This window comes from Homo sapiens, chromosome 1 (assembly GCF_000001405.40).
Source record: "Homo sapiens chromosome 1, GRCh38.p14 Primary Assembly".
In the NCBI taxonomy this organism is placed as follows: Eukaryota; Metazoa; Chordata; class Mammalia; order Primates; family Hominidae; genus Homo; species Homo sapiens.
Genome location: NC_000001.11, coordinates 243,413,116 through 243,435,613, shown reverse-complemented (window position 1 = coordinate 243,435,613; position 22,498 = coordinate 243,413,116). Strand labels below are relative to the sequence as shown.

The following is a 22,498-nucleotide window of genomic DNA, read 5'->3' as shown; positions in this document are numbered from 1 at the left end:
CATGGTATTTTGGTTCACAGACTAACTCACAAGAGTCAATTTAACCTATAATATAAATAAACAACCATTTAGAATCTAAGTCTCTGAAGTTCCTGCTGCAATCCCAGAATCCAGAACAGAGCTCAGCATGTATTAAGGGCCTAATAAATATGTTGAATGAAGGATATGAATGAATAGCAATGTGAAACATTTGTTAAGCACTAACGTTGTGCCAGGAACTATTCTAAAGACCTTTTTGTGGATTATTTTAGGCAGTTTTCACAACCTACAAGGTAGCATTTTGGAGATCAAGAAAGTGAGGAAGATGAAGTTTAAGATTAAGGAATTAGCCCATGGAGCTACAAAGCAGCTACAAAGAAGTAAACTGAGGAAAGCCCAGAGAACTTGGTTTTAGGAAGGATGCTGTTACGTACGATGCATACTATCTCTCTACTTTTGGCTTTAGGTCTTAAAAACAAAGGACTAGATCTTGAAGGTAGCTTAAAGCATGTAAGTTCCATAAGGACAAGGCTGTCTACGTGTCCTTTGATGTATCCCAAGCACATCAGCAGTGTATAAGCACTCGGTAAATATTTGATGAATAAATCAAAGGGTGTCTTTTTCTTTTTCCTGGGTAGTGGGCCTATCCCAGGCAAAAGTGTAACATCATTTCTTTGGCATTGTCCCAACTTTGTTTTGTTGCCTCCTTTTCCCACTTAATGTTCTCCCTGGTAATCAGTTATAGCAGCTGCCTTGTCCCAGCTAAGGTAAATGCACAGCCTGCTTTAAATAACTCATTATCCATTCCCAGATCAAAATTCTAACTCCCACAGAGTGGCAAAGCTCCCAACTTATTGGGAGGGCAGCAGTCTGATCTGGCCTTCCCACCACAGTATAAACAAACGTGACTTCCAGTCCTCACAGGGAGTTCTCAATGCATACAACTGGCTCATTACAAAGGGACTGTTTGAACCCCAATTGGCTTACAATTTTTGAATAATTTGAAAAGGATAAACTTTTCTATGTGATTTCTAGTATTCGATTGTCTGTTGTTAGACCCCTTAGATGAGACAGCCTCCCTAATCCAAACATGTCAGTGGTCCAGTGAAACAAACTCTAGGGATAACGGAACATTTCAAAACAAGATGTAATAAGATTCTTTTCTAGCAACATATACATCTCTTACCATTTCTTCATAAGAGTATAATTTTATATTATAAAATAATGGCATATAAATCTAATTTTGTTAATTTGCTCTTAATAGCATGTTATCAGTTACTTAAAAACAAACATTTGCAAGGAGCAAATCAAAGGACTGCCTCTCTACAGCAAATTGCTGAGGTGGTGGCAGGAGGCAGGGATCATATATCTGCTTTAGCAAAAGAGATAATGGGTGATTCATTTCTGTATTACAAGTCATACGGGACTTAAAATGTAGTTACTGGGAAACCATTATACCACTGATGCAAGTATGCAATACTGCACCGTAGGGGGTTAACAAAACAATCCAAAACAAACTAAATTATTGTGATGAAGCTAAATTAACAGCAATTTATAATTAAAAGCAAGAAGAGCAGCATTTGAAAATGAAGATGACCTCAGAACAACGCTGATAACCTAGTAATAATTAGAATCCTTTCCCCAAATCATCAAAAGTCAAACTAGCAGCGCTTATGTTACATCACACAAGCTCTGCCGGGTGTGGAGGCGGCCAGTAGAATATTGCATTAGCATTCGCAGTAAGTTGTTTTGGCTTATAAAAACCAAATTTTAGTACTTTTAAATTTTTTACTTAATAGATTTTGAAACTGTCCATAAGAATTGACAAAAACACCTATACTCGGGGTGAGTCTTCTGGTCATCACTACCCAGGGAGCTTGGGTCTACACCTTGATCACTTTTCTAAGCAAAGGATGAACAACTCAAGACTGCCCCAGGGGCAGTGGAAGTTTTTGACCATACACTCCAAATCTCAATAACAGACCTTTAGGTCTATATAAAACAGAGAGAACAGGAGACTTAAACAAATAAACACTTTAAGGGCAGCCAACTCCTGTCTAGCCTGCCAAGGGAGGCTGGTTCCTCAGGAGAGACTTTCTTCTTGCATCTGGGTTTCTGGAGGCATGGCAGCAGCCAGGAGTGACCTCCCAGGAGATGGCAGGTGCTGCCATGGCTACTCTGCACTGCAGGATTGCAATACTTAGGCCAGCCCAAACAGAAAGGAAGTCTGCAGCCACGAGAGTGCGGCAGAGTATATCCTTTTTTTTTTTTTTTTTTTCTTTTGAGACGGAGTTGCACTCTGTTGCCCAGGCTGGAGTGCAGTGGCGCGATCTCGGCTCACTGCAACCTCCGCCCTCCGAGTTCACGCAGTTCTCCAAGGCAGAGTATATCTTTTACATCTTTGTGTCTCCAGGCCTAGCACAGTGACTGGTACAAAACAGATGCCCAATAAACACAGAATAAACTAAGTCTGGCATCAGGTTACCTTTCCAGCACCGTATCCATAAGCCTGCATTTATCAGCTCATATAATCTCTTCTGCTACAGCTGCTGCGATGGCAACGGAGGAGGTGACCCTTCGCCCAGTTCACTATCATTTTCTGCTCAGTGCTTGGTATCCCAACCCACCTCTCTTCTCAGGAACCTTATACGCCGCACTTTGTCTACCTCAGCGTCTCCAAATTTCTTTTGACTCTCAAACCCCCTCCATAGAAACACATGGAATTTATTAAATCATCTCATTATTATATATAATAAAGAGGAACTTTTTAAGTAAAAGCATTTCATTTAAAATAAGCATAAGTTTGAACTTTGTAACATAAAATTTTAATTTTCCTGTGCAATAAATAATGCCACTATTTCATTTACATAAATTAAATCCATAGTGAATTAATTATGAAAGAAAAAGGCACCATTGGCTAATAACGTCTTCACACCAAAAGATACTCTAAAACATAGATTTGAAATTAAACCCATGTTATAAAATCAATAACAAATAAAAACAATTTCATGATTTGTTTTGAAATGTTTGCTTTTTGAATATAAAATTCAACTGCTACTGTTACAGCTTTCTCTCTTTTTTTAATTTTCCCATTTTTTTAAAACTTTTAAGTTCAGGGGTATACGTGCAGGTATGTTATATAGGTAAACTTGTATCATGGGAGATTGTGAAGAGATTATAACTGTCACCCTAGTATTAAGCCGAGTACCCATTAGTTATTTGTCCTGATCCTCTCCCTTCTTCCACCTCCTCCCCTCAGGCAGGCCCCTGTGTCTTCTGTTCCCCTCTAAGTATCCATGTGTTCTCATCATTTAGCTCCCACTTACAATGAGAACATACGGTATCTGGTTTTTTGTTCCTGCACTAGTTTGAAGAATAATAGCCTCCAGCTCCATTCATGTTCCTGCAAAGGACTCTTTTTGTTTTTAAATTATGAGATAAAGATTAAGATTTCAGGCTTCTATTTTCAAGCACTTTTCTGAAAATAGTAAATAGTGTTAATTCCCCAAATTAAAATGTCAAATTAGATAGAAATCAATATTATAATTTGTATTTTTAACATTGGCTTTTGAAGAATCAAATTTCTATGACAAACATAGAACTTACGGATTTGGTAAAGATCATCCTGAATCTAGTTTATAGAAGAATTACCTATTTTAAACTCATTACTAGATTGTTACACTTCGATCAGAAGCTGCATGTCTTTAGACAATGGTTTTTATGGATATACTTTAAACAATATATTACCATACAAAAGGGGGAAAAAACTCCTGTAAAACTGTGTAATTGACGAAACCCCCGGGATTACTGGGAGTCGGTGACAGTGAACGCCCAGATGAGAGGACACAGGTGCTCAGCAGTGCTCCACTGGCTCTGGGGCTTGTCCACTCTGTATACACTGGGGGATTTTCACACAGCTCTATTTTCTAGGGAGAAATAGGTGAATTGATACTTACTTTAAAATAAAAACAGAAAAAAAAAATGGCACTGCCATCTTTAACATGAATTCCCTGGACTGCCTTTGTGGACACCAGGGGTTCCAAACCACCAGTTGAAAATTTAACTTTCTTCGTTTTTACAACTTGAATGATCTTTACCATCATTTGAACATTAAATTCATGGCCAAAACGTAACGCTTGATCTCATCCCAAACCCAGGCCATCTCAACCCCAAACCAGCTTCTTTAGAGTGTTCCCTAGTTCTCAGTAAGTAGCAGCACTAGGCACCCATTGCTCAGGTCAGAAATATGGGTGTCGTCCTTGACACGCTCCTCTTCTCCACCCAGCACTGCCAATCAAGTAACTCCTGCTGGTTCTACTTCCTACACATTTCGCCAGTGTTTATTTCTGTCACCAATATTAGCATTCCAGTCCAAGCATCATCATTGCTTGACTAAGTCCAAAAACTCCCTAATCGTTTTTCTGTTTGTTTGATTTTTTAGACAAAGTCTCGCTCTATCACCCAGGCTTGAGTGCAGTGGTGCCATCTTGGCTCACTGCAACCTCCGCCTCCCGGGTTCAAGTGATTCTCCTGCCTCACCCTCCCGAGTAGCTAGGATTACAGGCGCTCGCCACCACACACAGCTAATTTTTGTATTTTTGGTAGAGACGGGGTTTCACCATGTTGGCCAGGCTGGTCTCGAACTCCTGACCTCATGATCCACACACCTCGGCCTCTCAAAGGGCTGGGATTACAGGCGTGAGCCACCACGCCCGGCCCATAACTGGTCTTGAGCAAACACGATGGCTCTGTTCCAATCTGTTATCTATTGTGGAGTTAGAATACAATTTTTAAATGCAAATCTGATCACATCTCCTCTATTTTTTAAAAAATCTTTTGATTTCTTCCCATTAGTAACAAGATAAATTTAAAGGTCCATGATAAAAACATAAAGACCAGCCCGGTGCGGTAGCTCACGCCTGTAATCCCAGCACTTTGGGAGGCCGAGGCTGGCGGATCACGAGGTCAGGAGATCCAGACCATGCTGTCCAATACGGTGAAACCCCGTCTCTACTAAAAATACAAAAAATTAGCCGGGCGTGGTGGTGGGCGCCTGTGGTCCCAGCTACTCGGGAGGCAGGAGAACTGCGTGGACCTGGGAGGCGGAGCTTGCAGTGAGCCAAGATTGCGCCACTGCACTCCAGCCTGGGCGACAGAGAGAGACTCCGTATCAAAAAATAAATAAATAAAATAAAATAAAAACAAAAACATAAAGACCCTGCCTTTAGGTCCAGCCCTTTCCTACCTCTCCAACCTCATTGTATGCCACACTTTCTGTTTTCCTTTATGTTGGACACACAGTTCTTGCTCTTCCTCCAGTACTATGCTTTCTTATCTCAGGAACTTCCATTTTATAGATTTTCTTTCTCTAGAACAGGAGTCAGTAAAATTTTTTAGGAGAGGGCCAGATAGTTTGCCAATTCCTGATCTAATCCCACTGCTTACCGATTCAAATGTCATGTTCTCATTGAAGCTTTTCTTAATCAATGTTAAGTGCCCTGCTGGGGACAGTGGCTCACACACCTGTAATCCCAGAGATTTGGAAGGCCGAGGCGGGAGGATGGTTTGAGGCGAGGAATTCAAGACCAGACTGGACAACATAGCAAGACCTAGTACCCACAAAAAGTTTTAAAAATTAGGCCAGGCATGGTGGCTCATGCCTGTAATCCCAGAGGACGCCGAGGTAGGCGGATCACCTCAGGTCAGGAGTTTGAGACCAGCCTGGCCAACATGGGGAAACCCTGTCTCTACTAAAAAATACAAAAACTAGTTGGGCGTGGTGGCAGGCGCCTGTAATCCCAGCTACTCCGGAGGCTGAGGCAGGAGAATTGTTTGAACCCAGGAGGCGGAGGTTGCAGTGAGCCGAGATCGCGCTACTGCACTCCACCCTGGGCGACAGAGTGAGACTCTGTCTCAAAAAAAAAAAAAAAAAAAAAAAATTAGCAGAGCATGGTGGTATGTACCTGTAGCCCTACCTGCTTGGAAGGCTGAGGAGGGAGGATCACTTGAGCCCAGGAGTTCAAGGTTACACTTCAGCCTGGGCGACAGAGTGAGATATTCTCTTAAAAATAATTTTTTAAAAAACAAGTTCCCTTATTAAATGTACTTGTACCACAAAATATATTTCTCCTTCATAGAACTGGTCATTACTGTACAGTTGGCCCTTGAGCAACATGGGGGTTAGGAGCATCAACCCCCTGTACAGTCAAAAAATCCATGCATAACTTTTGACTCCTCTCAAATTCAACTACCAACAGCCTACTGTTGACCAGAAGCCTTATATTGATAACATAAATGGTTGATTAACACATATTTATATGTTATATGTGTTATACACTATATTCTTACAATAAAGTAAGCTAGAAAAAATATTAAGAAAATCATAAGAGAAAATACTTTTACAGTACTGTACTGTTATATATTGATGCCATAAGTTTATAATGTCTGTTTATAAGATGAATCATCTGAAATGACAGGCGGCTGCAGCTGCAAACTTCAATCTAAGCTACATATCCTGCAATGCAACTTTTGCTTGTAACGTCATGACTTTTCTCTGCTTCTTGGAAGTACTTCCAACATCACTAGTGGCACTTCGTATGGGTCCCACGGTGTTATTCAAGGTTTATGTATTGCACTAAACATGATGAAAAATACACAAGAGCTGCAATAGATCACTTGTTATTGCAATAAGCAATTTACTGGAGAGAGAAACTGTTCACATGCAGACGATTTAGTCCACACAGCGTTTTCAGTGGATACTTACAATACTTGAGCTCCTCGCAATAGCAACAGGAGGTGGTTACAAAATTATCACGGTAGTACAGTGTGTGCTACAGTTAACTTCATGCAGTTACGATCTAATACTGCACCTTCACATTTGACATTTCTCTCAATTGCAGATGGTACCATGTATGATCTGTGTTTGTGTGTGTAAGTTTGGATAAATTTTAACTTTTTATAATAGATTTGCATATATTTTATGGTAGTCAATGATAAAGACCAGTATCTACAGATGTTTTATGTATTCATGACATACTTAAATTTAAAACTTCTTTTCATTATTTCTAGGCTACATGGTTTGTCTGCAGGTTTTTTCAAATTGTTGCAAATCTCCAAAAAATTTTCCAATAAATTTATTGAGAAGAATCTGTGTATAAATGGGCCCAAACAGTTCAAATCTGTGTTGTTTAAGGGTCAACTATAATTAATTAGACAGTTATGAAATTCTTTTGCTAATATCCATCTTCCCTATAAGGATGTATACTCCATTAGAGTGGGAACTATATCTACTTTGCTATTTTATTCCAGCATGTGGTAGAAAATGTGACACACAGCAGCAATCAATCAATCAATCAATCAATGTTGAATGAACGAACCATTAATTTGCCACCTGACCTTCATTCGGCACGTTTGTCTTTCTTAGGCTTAGTTCTCCATCTGGAAATGGAGATGATAAATGCAGCTACTTTCAAGGTTGCTTCAAGGTACATAAGGTACTATGTGTGAGAGCATTCTAGGAACTCTAAAGCAATACACAAATGTAAGAAAATAAATGGAAAGATGCCCCAGGTGCACAGGACTGGGGCAAAGGCTGGCCCAATGGCCAAATCCTCTGGCTCATTTTGTTGGTCCTCTAGCTAAGAATGGTCTTTACTTTTTCCAAGGGTTGTAAAAAACACAAAACAAGGAAGACTATGCCACGGAGACCACGTGTGGCCTGCAAAGTCCGAAATATTTACTCTCTGGCCCTTTACGGAAAACGTTTGCAGACCCCTGGCCTACAGAAGTGCCTGGGCTTAAGTAAACATTTTAATAGTGAATGAATAATTATTACTTTGCAAGTATATCCATATTTTGGTATTTTGATAACTGACAAGCAGTGCCATCATCTGACTGCCTGTCTTCATTCAATAAAGCAAGTAATCAACGTAAAAATACCTCCCCCCCACCCCAGGCTAATATGCTTACTTTACATTTAAAAAAATACAAGGAGTCTATAAATATTTTCATTTCCTTCAATTATATCAAGAACTGTTTTTGAAACAGAGAAGGCATGGATGGCTGGGAAATGGTGTGGGGATGCCGAGCTGGAGGCCACGCGAACCGTGTCCACTGGAAGGGTGGCTGCTATCATCGTGCATGCGGTTGTCATGTGGAAGTCCAAGTCTACAGAAACCTATTCACTGTCTGCTGTGAAATACTGAGATTATTTTCTGCCCAGGGAATCCATTATCACACAGAAGTGAGAAATGGCACATGGATAAAAAATAGTAAGAGGCTGTGTTTATTGCCAAAAAAAAAATCCCCATTACTGCACAAAAAGAAAAGGATTTTGGAGTCAAAAGATCAAGATTCAAGTCTGAACTCTACCACTTATTCCATCTGTCACTTTGAGCAAACCTATTAGCCTCTCTGAGCCGAATTTCTTCATCTAGAAAAAGAGAATAATAATTATTGATGACATTTAGTGGGTGGCCTTTATGAGCCATGTGCTTTGCCATATTATATTTGATCTTTCCATCAAAATGCAAAGTAGATATGATTAGCGCCAATATATAGGTGAAGAAACAGTCACTCAGAGAACTTAAGTGACTTGCTCAAAGTAACACCACCAGAAAGAAGTGAAGGTTTTGTTTGTAGTCAAGTTCTGACTCTAGCAATGCTATTAGTGCAACCTCTGATAAGATGTTTAACCTCTTTAGACCTACTATGTGCTTTACCTTACAAAAAGCATATAAAATCTAATTTCTAGGAGAGATAATTTGAAATTCCTCCATATTACAATATTACCAACTTACACCTTAAAGGAAAATGGCTTTCCTCCATTCTTCCATGTTAAATCTAATTCTATGTCTTCAGAGAATAACAAAAAGAGGATGTACTCTCCTCTTTGTATATAATAAGAACAACCTAAATTAAGGAAGCATAAATACATAAAATAAAGTATTAGATTTTGAGCATGTCACAAGTAGCATAATGATGATGAATTCTACTTATTCCGCAGCAATTCCCCTTCAGTGTGTAAACCAAACACATTCAATATGCGGCACATGAGTTGACATGAAACCTTGATTACCTTTGCTTCATCGTCTCATGTACTCTCCCATGCTGGACACACTGTTCCTCCAATTCTTCATTTCTTCTCTGTAACTTTCCCAATTTATCATATGTATACCTTTTTTCTTGACTGAGTTGAGCTATTTCAGATCTAGAGGTGAAAACACAAAAATAATAGATGTTAGAAGTTCTTATTACTAGGGCATATTGTTATTATATAACCTTAACATTATCTTAAACTCCACACTTAAACATGATAGCATAATGAAAACTACATCCTTTGCAAAAGAAAATATTTCAGAAATGGCAAGATACATTGTAGAGACTCATGTGTTAGACAGAAAAAGGAATAACAACTTACTCTAACAGAAATGGCTTCCCTAAGGAATAAGACAAACATGATAATGATCAAATCTCTTTTTTAAAAGACTGTCATTCATTTAACAAATACTTACTGAGTGCTTGTTATAGGCCAAACACTATGCTGTCAAAGAAGAAACCCTAGGCCTAATTTCTATAACAGAGTTTCTTTTAATTAACATAACCAGTTTAATGGCACACAGTTAAAATAAAAATAGTTCTTTAATGGTTAATTTTATGTGTCAACTTCTTTGGGCCATGGTGCCCAGACATTTGGCCAGACATTATTCTGGACATTTCTGTGAGGGTGCTTTTTAGATGATATTAACATTTAAATTAGTAAACTTTGAGAAAAGCAGATTGCCGTCCATGCAGGCAGGCTTTATCCAATCCACTGAAGGTCTTAATAGAAAAAAGATTGACCTCCCCTGAGCAAAATGGGAATATCTTGTTTTTCGTGTCTTAGATGACAATCCAAGTCTCAAAATTTGAAGATCAGAAAGATGTTTATCCAAGAAAAATTATATTCCTTTCCTTGTATTAAGTAAACTCTAAATTACTGCCTACTGCCACCATCTCCTCATGCCCTAATGCCTAATCAGTTAGAATGGAAAGTTTAAAACTCTTGTATATTATGAGTCGTTTTCAGGTTAATGATTGGATTGTTTTCTGAAGACTCCTGACATAAAATTAATTCCCTTCAAAGAAAGAATTCTTCCAGTAGGCAAGATAGCCTTTTCTTCCTGGTCAGAAAAGGATTTGGATTTGCTAAGGGAAATCTTACTTTACAAATTGTTCATCCCAAGGACCAGGCTGCTCACGTGTATGGAGCAAAAACTCTTGCTTTTAGTTCACCTCATTCTTCATTTTGTTTTCATCTTGGTTCAAATGTCATCCAAAAGGAAGCTTGCCCTGATTGATACCTTGCAGTTCTCAATATGTCAGCACGTTTTTTGAAGCTACCTCTAGCCTTTATGCATACATTAGCTTATAATTTATTCTTTTAAATTGTGCTCTGTGCCTTGTCTTTCCTACCATATTCTGTATGAGAGCATGGATTATCTCATTTTCAAGTTCAGATCAAGTGCTCAATCTACATTTGCTTCTCCTAATAAGAATCTACCCATATTTGAAATAGTCCGAAAGGAGTTAATAATGACTTACGTTTCTCCTTTCAGAATCACATACAATACAAAAGAATTTAGAGGCAGTTATGATAAATTTTTGATCTGGTATCCCTTCCAAGATTAGTATCTCCTATCATACCATGCACTAAAATAAATTTCAAAAGAAGAAAAAAAATCCTTAAACCAGATTAGAAAAAAATGCAGAACATTGATCTTTTCCCAGGCACTTTCCAAGCAAAAGGCACTTTTAAAAAGAAAAATCACAAAGAAAAAAATAGATTTTACAATATAAAAATACAAAACTTTTATGCATAAAAAAATCACATTTAAAATATATCATAGGTTTGTGTGAGAGTATTCATTGTAGCATTGTTTCTAGAAACAACCTTTCTTTGCAACCCATAATCTGGAAACTTAACCAAGAAATCTATCAACAGGAGCTTGGTTATGTTACTTATTATTCTGATAATGTGGCTATTTATAAGTGATATTTATTGATCTAAAACTGTGACATATTAGTAACAAAGAGAAAACATTAAAAGTCAGCATGTGTAATGTGATTTCATTTTATAATTTAGAAAAATATTTTGACATGCATACCAACTATTAATATTGGTTATTTCTGGATGGTAGGATCAGGAATGTTTTCTCTGTTCTGTATTCATCCTTTTCCATACTTTCTAAATTTTTAAAATAGATATGTATTTTATTTGTTTTAAATAAATTCATTCTGATTTTGAAAAAAATCATAATAAAACAAAATGTAGATGTCACTGGTGGGGGAGGTTGTGTGTGGAAGGAACAGGGAATATATGGGAGTTCTGTACTTTCTGTCCAGTTTTGCTGTGAACCTAAAACTGCTCTAAAAAATAAAGCTTATTAATTAAAATCAATGTAAACAACAGGAAATTATTTACAAAAATAAGACAAACATTAAAAGCATAATTTAATGAAACACTAACTGCACTCTCCATCAAAATTCCAATTAAAAAGTATAAGAAATATTGAAAATATCTACAGAAGAAACACAAATGATCAATACCATTTATAACATATTCAATTTCACTATTATTCAAAAAATAGCACAACAAAACCAGATACTACCACCAAATATTTACTGCATGCCACCGTATAACAAACAGTGAAATCCATCCTTTACATTCATGATCTCAATTAATCCTATAAGGTACTTGTAAGGGTTTCTTTTCTTTTCTCTGTGAGGTAAACATGAAGTTGAATAATTTGCCTAAGGTCATCCAAGTAGTCAAGCCCAGATATTACTTAGTCCACCTCTAAAGGGGTGGTTCCACCCACCTGTGCAATATTGCCTCTCATGCTTTTTTAAAAAAATCTCACTTCTTTGTAATGTTATTTACTAATATGGCTACATATACAGTTATTAGAAGTTAGTGTAGTACTTCAGCAAGGTAAAACACATCAACACCCTTAAAAGGATTAATCGTCTTGGACCAGCAATTAAGGAAACAATCAAAAATTTAGATTTAGGTACAAAGTTTTTGTTGTATTATTATTCATAAACGGTTAAAAATTGGAAGCATCTTAAAAGCCTAATAATTCTTATACACGCAAATCATTTAATAAAGTTTTGTTTTCAGAGTATTTACTGATATAGAAAAATGTTCATTAGATATCAAATGAAAAAGCAGACGCAAAACTGTATATACGGTATAATCTCAATCACACTATAAATGTACACAGACATACACATGAAAAATGACTGAAGGGAAATATATCAGAGGTAAGAATAGTTATCTCTAGCTGGTAGTGGCACAGGAAATTTTCCTTAATTCTTCTTTGTATTTTCCAAATTCCCTGCATTGAGGATGTCTTACATAATCCCAAAAATATAAATGTTATTTATAAAGTACACATCACTATCAAGTGTGTATTGCAACAATCTTTTTTTCTGCTTCACATTTTTGTTTTTTTCTTTGTTTATAATTGTAATTTGCCTACCAACTTCCATTTTTCAATAAAAATTTGACATATATGCCTGCACATCATCCTTTTTCTGTCTGCAGCTCACGATATGTTCCTAGAACTAGTAGTTTGCAAAGCTCAAAGAGTAAACTTACAAGTTTTCTGTTAGTTAGGAGATACATTTCTGGCATGATTATCCTGTGTCATATAAAAGGATAATTGACTCTAATCCATTTTCATAGAAAATTCAGGCAATTTCTGGCTTTACAGAAGCATGAACTTTCCCCTGTATTTTTATATACCAGTTATGTTGCATAATTGCATTTGCATGAAATATATTTTACTACTATAATTCGGATTAAAATGATAATTGCTTTCAAAGGGAAATACAATATCTTAATTTTTTATTCTTTTAGGTTCTAGTTTGACTTTTGGTAACAATTAGCAGAGGCCAATATCAGTCTCCTCTTGTAGAAAATATAATTTTTATAGTATCCCAACCTAACATCATCTAAACATGCAAAGGAAAAAAACAGTTCAACCGGGTGTGTGTTCTTCACCTCAATTAAACTCACACAGTTGGATACCTACTGTTGCCAAAACAGTAATATAATTTACACATTATAGTCCACACAGTAAAACTACACTAAAAGTCATTTAACAATATTTATAACACCATAAAGTATAGTGTTAAAATATATGAACTGCAATATGTACCAAAATTATAAAATTTGTTTCTCATCATCAGTGATTAAAACCGGGATCATTGCTCTAGCCTCAATACTCACAACCCTGGTGACAGATTAGAATTCAAATCTTAATGATCAATTTACAATTAACAAGATAGAAGTGAAACAAATTAAACCAACCATTATATATAACGAGACCCCATGGACTCCCATTGTTCCTCTTAATTACAAAACGCAAATCACAAATACACAATGGGCAGTGTTAGACATCAGTCCACAAGCCTCACAACCCAGAAAGTGACAATGACAGAAAAGAAAGAAGCAAAACCACATAGACCCTGGTTCTATGCTCTATCCTGTTCTTTTCAGTGTGCAAGAGGTGGAAGCTAAAACCTAGCACACACTTCTCTCCACTCTGTGGCTGGCAGAGGCTCACTCCCTGCCAGCACCCAATCCTTCCAGCTCTCCCAGGCCAGGTGTTAGATAGCACTGCAAACCGCACTGCAACGTTTTACTGCTGATTCATCTAAGCGCGTGGGGAGAGAGAACACTTCCTTCACTTTGATAAAGAAAAATCACAGTTGTACCGAAGATATTTAAATAGCTCCGTTTACCTCCTTCAAAAAACAACCCCATAACTATAATAAGCTCTCAGAGTACTGGGGAATACAGAAGGAAGGATAGCGAAAGTTTATGTGAGCTTCAACTAAAATCAGCCAGAATGTCTGCCTGGTGCCAATTAAAAGCAAAATGGAATTAATTCTCTTGCCTGATGGTCAAAAACAAGCTATACAACATGCACAGAATCGGCAGTTCATTTTAAGTTTTAAAATGGGACGTGCCATTCACAAACCCCGGGGTTACAGACACCACTACGTGCAGTGTGGAGTACACAGAGCGCGCAAACTACTGTGCTAATCACTATGGAGGCTTCCAGAAAACAGAAGCAGTCGTCACTGCCATAATGCGACTTACGGTCTCCTTGGGGAGAAAACACATACAACAGACACACACACGGAGGTACCATTTCAAAACATTTTCACAGAGCAACAGAGCAGCCTAGCATGAAGCTGGGGCAGAGAGTAAGGGCGTACGTGCACGCCGAGCCCATGCTCTCAGCTTTCCCGTCATTCTGCATGGGCTTCAGTCAAATGACTAGATCTGTGAGTTTAAAATCTTGTTTTAAATGGTAGGAATCTATTTGTTTAGTTGGTATTTTGAAAAACAAGACTCTTAGAGTAATGTTGCTAGTAACAGAGGAAGGAAAAATATGTCTTAATTATTGCTCAATACAAAATAAATACACTTACTTTTCAAGAAGAATTTTACTGTAATACTCTGAGGAAAAGCTGGACCAAAATTACCATATGGATTGCATAAGTATAAATTTGGAGACTGAGTTTCCACAATGACAAAACTTTAGAAACTCCAAGATTTTCCTTACCTCAAAGCACAGGGAAAATTATTTATCCCAATAGTTTGGCATGGGGTATGCAGAGGCACACTCCTGGAGGGCTTCTTCAGAGTTTACTACATTAATAATTTGTATTTTAAAAGAAGCAGTTTAAGCCCTTCAAGTTTTATAGGTGGTTTCAAAGCAGAAGGTAACATCAAAATGGAATGTAAAACTTAACATGAATGAGTTATTGAAAATGTCATAGTAAGAAGCCAGGGAGAAATGAAACTGGAACTAAAAGAAATTAAGAACAAACAACCCTAAAATCAAAATTTGTCCTATTCACTACCTTCTTGTGAGGCACACAAAATGCACTTTTCGTAAGTTTTAGGGGCGCTTGAGAGTTTTAAAAATAGTAAGTAACAATTTATCAAGTGTTTACTACTTGCCAGGCCTTGGTTGAGTCAAATTGTAAACTTAGAGTAGGTGCCTGCTTTAATTCATCAGAGTTACAAAATACAACTAGATCCACATTTTCCTGATCTGGCTGTTTTAAAAAGGCTTTCATTGTGGCATAGACTTATGTCCGTCGGAAAATGACAGTCAGACTTTCCCTGGCAAAGACAATAGCTATGTAAAGTGATACCCAAATTACCAGTCAAGACCCTTAAAAATGCCACCAGTGAAAATAATAGCAGCTACTGTGTATTACTATGTGTCAGGCACTGTGCTAGGCACTTGATACGTGTATGTATGCGTATCTATATACACAATTCTAATTCCCATAACAATCCTGCAGTGTGGCTTTAGAAATGTTTTTACAGAAGGAGAAGCTGAGGTTTGGGGAAATGAGGCCATGTACCCAAGGTTACAAAGCTCCAAGTGGGAGAGTGAGATTCAAACCTAGTTCCTCTGAATTGCCATGTGTTCTTTACTGCACACTGTCAGCCATCAACAATGGGACAGACTGGCATCAGAAGTCAGATCAGGAGGTGCGAATAGCACCACACCTATTTGTTTCATTCATTCATCATTTATTCATTAAATGCCATCTATGTCAGATACAAAAGAATACATCCAATTTACAAAGTACTGTTCAGGAGCTGGAGGAATGAGAAGCAGGAGGAGCAATAGAGGTTCTGAGTTAGACCAGTACAGGCTAAGATGACAGATCTAGAGGAGGAAAAAGAGGGCCTAGGGGCACAGAGTAAGTTAACCGTTACATGCCAAGGACGCTTACTTCTCCACGGAAATTTAAAGGTGAATTTTTCCTTCCCAAACTTTCTCATCATAACTACTGTGGCTTGAATTTTCTTTAGCAATAGATGTAAAATACTGTAATTACCATAAGAAAGAACGTATACTTTGGAACCAGAAATACCTATGTTAGAACCGTAGCTCTCCCACTCACCAGTTATTTAAACAGTTTTGGTTTCCTTATCTGGAAGATAATAATTCCTGCCTCAAGTTGTGGTGAGAATTAAATAACATACCAAGCACCTTTTTGTCTCTTTTATATAATAAATTTCCCTAATTAGGTCTCCTTGGAGAGCAAGATCACTAATCATTCACAAACCAATTTTAGACCTAATACATTTATATAAAACCCAGATTGATATCATTTTATCCCTAAATGATACAATCTTGTTTGTTTGCTTCTAACAAATTACTTTTGGATCTATGTGGTGCAAATCAAGTATTTCTGGTTAAGAATAGCTACTGTTGATATTTTATGGGTCTCTTTCATGACAAAATCATTTGGTTTTCTTGGTCAAATTTCCTTGAAATATCTGGTATTTTGGCACCTAGGTTTTCCCCTACCAAAATACAATCTTAGTATACGCTAGGAAGGTGCGCATGTCAGAGTACATTCTTGGTGGTTACAGGAGCCTCTGCCTTCCTGGTGAGCAGGGAGAGTTGGATGCACGAGCCCTCTGATTCCCCAAAAGATTCAGGGATGGGGGTTCTATCAGCTAAGACAGCTTGTTGATGCAGGATTCCAAGATGGAGCTCAGAGTGATCAGATATGCCCTGATACTCCCAGAAATCCTTCCCGAATGAAACATCTAGGTCAGTAGTTTGTTTGCTGAGCCATATTTCCTGCTCTCAATAGATCTATGTGAGTTTCAGAAAAATGCAGAAAAGAAGACACACAGGCAATTTTTTCATTGAGTTATCATATAAAGTAGTATTTGACATCTTATCAGTTATGTGAATATTGCCTTCTATAGTTCAATTTAAAGTGATTCTGTCCAATGTCTTTCATTTACAAAAGAAGAAACTATAGTCCAAGTAGGTCAAATACATTTGTCCAAGATTATTCAGTTACTGTCGGAGCTGAGATGGGGAGTCGGGCTTCTTGCAGTTTAGAATATGAAATAATTTATTCATTGAGATAATCTGACTAGAAAGTGTATAGAAAAAAGTCATTAAGATTCCAATCAATGGATTTATAAAAGAGTAGTATGCTATAAAATGAATGATGGCTGTTCTATTAAAATATAACAATTTTAGGAGAAGGGAAGAATAGTTTTGGTTTATTTATTTCAAAGTACCATCTACTTTCATTTTTATATATACACATTTCATCTGTTATCATTTAACCTAAAGACAGCTTTTGTGTTCATGGTGAATTGTAACAATAGATTAAAATGTGTTAACCATACCTATGTAAGATTTTATAACTGCTTGATTTATCTGCATGTTTATGTTATTACCATATTGATCCTTCTTTCCTGAAATTTCACAGTTTTCAATTCTAAACATTGAAATGTCAAATAATAGTACATACACATAACCATGAAAAAACATAAAAGCGTATAGACAATTAAGAAAATGTCCATATGTAGAAAATATTTTCAAAGAAAACATCAGCAGATACCTAATTTTGACATTAGACTATAAAACAGTGCAAATGATGTTTTTTAAGGAAAAATTAGAGTAATCACACAAACAGTGCTCTTGAAAGTATTCTATAACATCACCTACCTGGTTTTTTGAGAGATTTGTTCCAGTTTCTTGGCTAATGTACAGCATTCTTCCTTTAACTTTGTCAAAAATGTATTCTGGGAGGTCAGCAACAAATACTGTTCATTTTCTAGAAATAACAATAAACCCCCACCAACATAAGATGTTTATGGTTGTCGCTCTGCAGTGCTTCCATACATAGAGTGGTAAAGTGCTTAGACCCCTACACATTTCCAATAAGCCACTAGATCACCTTCAATGTCCTAAGTCAAAGGACTTATCATCTGGAAAGACACTCAATCTTGGGAGTCATTTATTTTCAACATAATTATACACCAGAAACATTTTTCATCATACCAGCTTGGTGTAACATTTTAACATGTTAATAAAGTGTCAAATACCTCAAGTGGAAGAATAGATGCTTATATCTTTGCAATATGCAAGATATTATATTTTTATTTTGACAATTTTACTATAAACAGAGTGTCAAAAATTATCACAACCAGATAACTCAAAACTAAAATCATCGAGGAATTCTCTTCTACACTGTAATTCATGCTTTGTTTCATATTTGCACACATGGTTTACTACCACCACCACCCCCAATCTTGCATACACTTCTCTAATTATGAAGGTAAAAATGTGTATTTTCTTTAGAATTTTAATTTCATTGTCAACAGCATGAGCTTCAATGGAGATCTGGTCAAAGAAATTGAAAACAGTGTGATTTTGTGTATGTGTGTACAAGACAAAAGGAAATGTTCTTAAGGCGGTTTTAACAGTTAAATACATTCTAATCTAGTGCTTAGATTCTGCCCAAGACTCTGATCACTAGGATCATGCTAGCAGTGGGGGCAAAAACAATAATTTATCCTACAATTGCCTCTTTTTGTTTTTAGAGGAAAAACTTCTACTAAACCTGGTGAATTTTCGTTTCTTCTGGCCAAATGCTGTTGGAAGAAAATCTCTACTGAAAGTGATAGAGGGAATTATGTGAGTCAATATGACATTTGCCTCTTCATAAGTAAATAGATTATTTAATGACTTGCCTGTTGGCAATTTTTCACCCATAGGATAAGAAATAATTTCTTACTGTGTCATCAAATACAATATATTAATACATTAAATCATATGAAAATTACCTCTAAGCATAAGTTTTAAGAGGCCTTTATTTCTTTTCAATTTTAGCCAATGATTGGCAAAAAGCATATAGCATACAAATCAAAATAAATCAAGGCACTAAAATTAAGCAACATTTTTCTGGAAGAGACAGGATCAATTAAACTTTTGTTTTAATAGTACAATCAGTGTGGAGTATGTGGTGTGGAATTATAATGACTGACACTGTCTTGTTTTGACTAACACTGTCTGTGAACACACAACTCAAAAGTGAAAGAAACTACATAATGCTCTGACTGAACAAATCAAACTGTCTATTTTCAAAGTGCATTTTACTTTCAAATTAAAGGTAAAGAGTTACTGGCCAACTCAGTCTGCAGAATAGTGCCAATGTGATGAAAGATGGCAATTTTTAGCCAAGCTGCCAGCTGTGGTCAGTGCCTTGTATTAGTGAATTTTAACAGCAGTTGTGAGAACTTGAAGAATGCAAAGGATTAAACATCACTCTAGATTGGGTTGGGGGAGGTGGGGAAATCATACAAATGCTAAAAATGTTCGAAGCTGCAAAGATTAAATAAAGGAACATATCAATTTGGAGCCACTGAATTACATCCAGCTGCGACAGTGAATTAAGAACCGATTAATGGCTAAAGCTTTTCTCCAGTTTGGATGCTGAAGCAAACTCATTAGGCTTTTAGAGTAGCTATAATGTGTGTACTGTGGGAACTGTTCAATGCTATTCAGGAGACTCTAACTGTAAGCTCAGAGCATTTCCCGCAGAGCTTCTGATGCTATTTTCTTTATATAACATGTGTGCCTGAAAACCCAGCCAAAAACAAGCCCTTTGTTTTTCTACTTTGTTGTGGTCTCTCTCAGCTTTACGTTTCTTGAACACAGGTAAATAAACTCATAATCCAGATGGTGCAACAGATGTGAGAGCAGCACTCTGAAATCAACAGACAGTGGGCAATACTTTCCATTTTCTCTTTTAAACGCTAACTAATATGTAATTCGGAATCTCCGGTGTAGTTAGCATCTGCTCCCTTCGGCCAGCCAAAGGTTACAGGTGTTCCTGATGTCATTTCACAGTAAGGCGTGGGCCTGACTTGTGAGCTAGTGCCCAGGCTCTAATCTTTCCCTACCACCTACCAGTTTTGTCATGCTGGGCCTCCATTTGCTGTATCTTCTGTGTCAGCTCCTGCTCTCTTTGCTGGGCCTGAAGGGCTTGGGCCTTTGCTTCCTTGCTAAAGCTCTGCTGAATGCTATCTTTTTCCTGTCTGCAAAACAGAGAGGAGACATACAGAAATTTAATCTGCAGATGCACAAACCCCCATCATGTCCCCTATAGACCAGAGAGAGCTGATACGTAGTAAATTGTTAAGCATAAGAAGACAAGGACCTTTCTAATGACCCTCCCCCACTTTAGGGGGAAGATCCAAACAACCTTCCATACAGTGTTAAATACGTGCCATGAATCCAAATGGACTAAAGTGTGCAGTGTCAAAACATCATAACAACTAAATAATGGTATTTTGTAACTTTAAAACACAAAACTTTTTTCTCTAATATTCTTAATGTTTTACACTATCAATGAATGTTTCATCTTCTGAGTGGTCAATCTTTCCCAGAGATACTGGAACTCTAGGAACAAAACTTAAATTCTTAAAACTAAGCTTTGTAGACCACCTCTGTTTTCACTCTAAACTTAAAATGGAATCTTAAATATAATGCAGGAGCCTCTATCTAGAGGCGAGTAAATGATTCTGCAGTGCCACATTCATGTTTTCACTAAATATCTTCACACATCAGGCCATATAATGTGAATATGAATACAAATATGAATACGAATAACTTCCCCCAGCACTTCATAATAAAATCCCTCGTGGGTCACATTGAAAGAAATTGCAGGATGAAAAGCTTCTGTAGTCAGACAACAACCCATCGTACTGTGATAGGACACTGACCTATCCCACTGGGTCAATAACCAAGCACAGTGGCTCCAAAGAGAGAAACTTCCTAAACAATTAGAACCTGGGGAATGCAAAGGACCTCAATGCTGGCAGCACTGTGGATACTGACAGTGTGTGTGTGCATGTACATGTGCACACACACACACACACACACACACACACATATTAGAATGGTTCTTCAAACTCTAAATATGGGTAAGTGATATTAGGGTTTCCTTCAATTAACTGACTTAGTTATTTCTAACTCCTGATCTCCTTGCGGGCATTTCTCATCCATGCTGCTTTAGTTTACTAATTGAGATATTTACTGCTTAGCCTTTGCCAAACTAAAAATAAACAATTCCATAAAGCTATCACTACTAGTCTATGTACCGCTGTGGAACTTCAATTCACTGGCTTCTAATTATAAAGCAACATAAGGAAAGCCTGTATTAAAATTGGTCAATGCATGTGGTCATGTTGTAGTATAAAATTCTGGAATGAAAATACACCCACACCTCACTCAAATGGAATCATCGGGGGTCCATGCTAAATGTGAAATAAGGTCCTGTCTGGTACTTCTAATAACAACACCTCCCCCCGGGATGTGGTCCAAGGTCTTGCGTCGCACTCGGTTCCAAACCAGTATATACAACAAATGGATAGTCAGACTAGGCTACTTTTTGCCTCCCCAGTCACACCATGTATTTTCTGGCCATGGATCACTGCACATGTCTCTTCCTCTTCCTGGAAAGCCCCTCCACCTGCCCACTCAATCCCCCTGTAAGATGTATACATACAACTACCCGCTTCAGGCCTAACTCAAAATTCTTCCCCTCTCCTTCCTCTCTCCTGAATTAACTATTCTTCCCTCAATGACCTCAATATATGTTGTGTACATCGTACAAAGATAGTATTTATCACACTTTAGTTATTGTTTAACATGTCTGCTTCGTTTGTCATCTTTATCTCTCTATACCCTCAGCCCAGCCTCAGTGCTTGGCACACAGGAAGTGGGTGGTGAATATTTCATGATTGGATGTTGTTATACTCTTGTCATAGGGGAAAGGAAGGCTGCTATCTTAACGTGTAGCTGGAGAATCTGCTTAAGTCTTACGAGAGGAGGCAAAAACTTTTCAGACGTGTTAGAAAAAGGTGCTTAGAAGAGAATGGTTCTAATGGCTCTGCCAGCTGGAGACCGTGCTGCTAAAGGAGTCAGCTAAAAAAACAAAAAGCCCTGTCAGACCATCCCCAAGTCAGACCCCCTGCCGGGGCAGGAGCCAGAGATAGAAATCTGGGGCTCTGCAACCCCTAACAATTGGGTGACATAAATGCATTCTCCAACACCAATACCCATCTGAAAGTGAAAGGGGCACTATTAATAATTATACCAAGATAACAGTCACAACTGAAACTACCCATCACAAACTGGTACTTACAGTTCCCCAATGTAAAGGGGTTGTCAATCTCACCATCATTCTTTAGAATAAGCTGCCTAATTACTGATATTCTAAATTGACTATAGGTCAGGCACGGTGGCTCACATCTGTAATCCCAGCACTTTGGGAGGCCAAGGTGGGCAGATCACTTAAGGCCAGGAGTTAGAGATCAGCATGGCCAACAAGGCAAAACCCCATCTCTACTAAAAATACACAAATTAGCTGGGCGTGGTGGTGCATGCCTGTAATCCCAGCTACTTGGGAGGCTGAGGCATCAGAATCACTTCAACCTGAGAGGTAGAGGATGCAGCGAGCAGAGATTGTGCCACTGAACTCCAGCCTGAGTGATAGAGTGAGATTCTGTCTCAAAATAGATAAATAAAAATAAAAAATAAATTGACTATAGAAAAGAACTACTGTCATAATTGAAGTCCTTTTTATAAAATAAAACAATTTAAAAGACTTCTACCAACAA

At 37.5% G+C, this 22,498-nt stretch overlaps 1 protein-coding gene across 6 annotated transcripts in view; it reads right to left on the bottom strand.

Moving 5' to 3' along the window:
* The window catches only part of SDCCAG8 (SHH signaling and ciliogenesis regulator SDCCAG8), a 244,051-nt gene that overhangs the window by 64,478 nt on the left and 157,075 nt on the right, over positions 1–22,498 (bottom strand). For all 6 annotated transcript variants that reach the window (NM_001350249.2, NM_001350251.2, NM_001350248.2 and 3 more), the window contains 3 exons: positions 19,785–19,912; positions 17,538–17,646; positions 9,056–9,187 (listed from right to left, as the gene is read on the bottom strand). In NM_001350249.2, the coding sequence (NP_001337178.1) occupies positions 9,056–9,187; positions 17,538–17,646; positions 19,785–19,912 (369 nt within the window). The remainder of the gene's footprint in view (positions 1–9,055; positions 9,188–17,537; positions 17,647–19,784; positions 19,913–22,498) is intronic.